The following is a 3,488-nucleotide window of genomic DNA, read 5'->3' as shown; positions in this document are numbered from 1 at the left end:
AAAATAGGCCCATGAGAATTTGTTATGTAATAACAAATAAAATGGAAAGATTTTCTTGGAGATTATGTTGGGAAAACCAGTTTACCTAGAAAAATAAGGTTGGATGCTCACAAACCCCTATATGCAATGGTGAATTACAGAAAAATTAAAAACATAAATGGGAAAGGTATGACTATACAATTAATAGAAAATAATATCTGTGTGACCTGTGAGGAAGGACCTGTTAAAACAATAAAAGCACATCTTTTTTTTTTTTTTTTTTTTTTTTTTTTGGAGAGTTAGTAGAATTTATTGGTGAGTATTAAGAGGGGGGCAGCACATTGGAAGCCCTCATGAGTGCAGGGCCCGCCACTTGTCCAGAGGGCCACGATTGGGGATGTACTTGACCCCACAGCCATCTGGGATGAGCCGCTTTTCAGCCACCATGTCTTCAAATTCATCAGCATTGAACTTGGTGAAGCCCCACTTCTTTGAGATGTGGATCTTCTGGCGGCCAGGAAACTTGAACTTGGCCCTGCCCAGGGCCTCAATCACATGCTCCTTGTTCTGCAGCTTGGTGCGGATGGACATGATAACTTGGCCAGTGTGAACCCTGGCCAAAGTGCCCTGGGGCTTTCCAAAGGCACCTCGCATGCCTGTTTGGAGCCTGTCAGCCCCAGCACAGGACAACATCTTGTTGATGCGGATGACGTGGAAGGAGTGGAGCCGCACCCGGATATGGAAGCCATCTTTGCCACAACTTTTTACCATGTACTTATTGGCACAAATTCGGGCAGCCTCCAGGGCTTCAGAGGACAGCTGCTCATATTCATCTGACACCATGTGGCCACAAAGTGGAAACTCATCCACTTTTGCCTTTTTCCGCCCCAGGTCAAAAATGCGAATCTTGGCATCAGGGACACCTCGGCAGAAGCGAGACTTTGGGTACGGCTTGTTCTTACAATACCGGTAACAACAGGCGGGGCGGCGGCCCATGGCAACACCAGGATCTTCAGTGGCACACCGAAGGGAAAGAGCGCATATATCTTTTAGGAAAAAAAAAATCCTACATTTTGACTTCATCAAACTTAGACATTTTACAGGCAAAATGCACAGATGACAAATTAGGAAAAGATACTAGTAGTATTTAAAGTTGATAAGAAGTTACTATCTGAAATACTCCAAAACTTTTGAAATCCCCAAGAAAAGAACTGGAAACCCAACAGAAAAATGATCAAGTGATATACCTAGACAATTTACAAAAGAGGAAACTTGAGTGGCTAATAAGCACAAAAAAAAGAAAGAAAAATAGAAAAAGAAAAAAAAGCCTACACTTACTGCAAACAATGAAATATAAACTAACATTAGATATCTCCATCAGATTAGCAAAAATTTGGAAGTCAGAAAATACCAGTGTTGGCAAGGACAGGGGAAATGCCAACAAATCCTTTTGTATTACTGATGGGAGCGAAAATGAGTAGAACTAAACCCGAAAGCAATCTGGCAGAAGTTCCACACTCATCAATTCTAACATACACGTTTTTGGTGCGCCATGAACTGAGGAGAGGATGGCCTGCAGAAAACCTCATGTTCACTCCTCCAATGTCCTGTAAACCTTCAGTTCCTCATGATCTAAACAGAAGTCATCACCTTGCCCTACCTGCCCACTCCACCCCTACTCTGTTTCTCCTACTGAAGTCCCTACTAGTGATAGTGACAGGAGGCAGACAAATCCGAGGCAGACAAATCCTAGGTAGACAGGGATGGGTCCCCAGTAAAACCCCACCTTCAAACCAAAGACAGTTTAAAGCCTGAAAACCAAGCTGCTGCTTCCGGATGAAGTCTGGACCAGAGTGAGAACTTGCATTCCTATTTACTTGCTCTTTCCCAATTGATTCTTTCTGAATAATGGCTTTGAACCAATAAAATGTTGCCTTTTCTAATGCTACCTACATCCTGCACCTCCCCCATTGTGTGCCTATAAAAACCCCAAACTCAGCCACACTGGGACACAGAGAGACCACCCGACTTTGGGTGGTAGACCATCCTCGTGTCCCCTCTCTGCTGAGAGCTGTTTTGTCACTCCATAAAACTCTTCACCTTGCTTACCCATGGCTGTCAGCATAAGCTCATTCTTCTTGGATGCAGGACAAGAACTCAGGACCCTGCTGAATGCCCATATGAAGAAGGCAGTAACACCATAGCCCATCAGCCACCCCATGCAATGGGAAGTAGTGCTGGGGCTGAACTAGCCTCTGGGCTGCTGGCCAGAGCATGGTGATGAGACTGACAGAGAGCTCTTAATGCACCGCCATCCATCAGGCTGTGGATGGCGGGATTGAAAGAGCTATCATCACACCCCCTCTGGGGCCTCGGGGTCACAGGCACCCCTGTTTGGGACCACCACGTTCCCCTCTTCTGGACACTGGAGTCCACCAAGGGAGTTGCTTGCAACCTGCCTGGTCCAGCCACAGCCCCGCATGGAGCCTGCTCCTGGAGCAGCCAGCCAGACCCCACACTCACTCACTCACACACTTCCTCCCACCATGGGCTGAGCATGCAGTCATTGTGGCCACAAGATCTGCGCCAGAGTAGTCAGGGCCTCTCCTACCGTGGGCCCATACTTCAGCAAGGTTCATGAGGGGCATCGCCAACCGGAAGTTTCCGGCCCACAGAGTGACCAAGAAAAATCCTTCATCACTAGGTTAATGGTATCACCATGTCCCAGTGACCTAAGAAGACAACTTGGGAGTCAGCGTGTAGTGCTCCCACTCCCTCCGGGTCACTCCTCAGTCAGTTACCCATTTGATGGTTCCATCTCAGAAGGGTCATGCATCCCTCCACTTCATTTCATCCCTACTGCCACAGATTTAATGCAAGACCCAATTATTCCTCTTTTCAATGACTCCAGTAGCCTCGATCCTGCATCTTCCCCTTCCCTCCCCTATTCATTCTGCACTCCAGCTGCCAGGGTGATCTTTCTGAAATATAAATGGGTTCACATCACTCCCATGCTTAACAACATTCCAGCAGCTCACCAAAGGTCAAGTCCTTTAAATTGGGTACAACATCTTCACCATCTGGTCCCTGCCTCTCTCTTCAATCTCATTGCTCTGTTCTCCCACATGCAACCTTTGATCCCAAACATTCACTCGTGGCACCATAGTCTACTCTGCCCTGGAAGGTCCAAGGCTGGTCAGTTAAGAGAAAATTAGATTATATAAGTAGTTAGTCAGAGTAGATTAGCATAATAAATATTTACCTTAAGCATTTTTACAACTCTGGGTTTTACATCATTGCAATCTTACCCCAAAACTGCATGAGCAATATAAAAAAACTTCTGTATACCTTTTACCCAGATTCACCTATTGTTTCTATTTAGCCCCATTTGCTTTGCTTTAAAATTCTATTTTTTTATATCATTTATCTCAACTCTTTGAAAATATATTGGAGACATTATTCCCCTTTACCCCTAAATACATCAGGGTGAATTTCCTAAGAACAAGGAT

The 3,488-nt window shown here is 45.4% G+C and overlaps 1 pseudogene; it reads right to left on the bottom strand.

The window, feature by feature from the left end:
• RPL10P9 (ribosomal protein L10 pseudogene 9) lies at window positions 272–1,016 on the bottom strand (annotated as a pseudogene).

This window comes from Homo sapiens, chromosome 5 (assembly GCF_000001405.40).
Source record: "Homo sapiens chromosome 5, GRCh38.p14 Primary Assembly".
NCBI classification, from domain to species: domain Eukaryota; kingdom Metazoa; phylum Chordata; class Mammalia; order Primates; family Hominidae; genus Homo; species Homo sapiens.
Note: the sequence above shows the minus strand (reverse complement) of the source record. Positions and strands in the feature narration are given on the sequence as shown.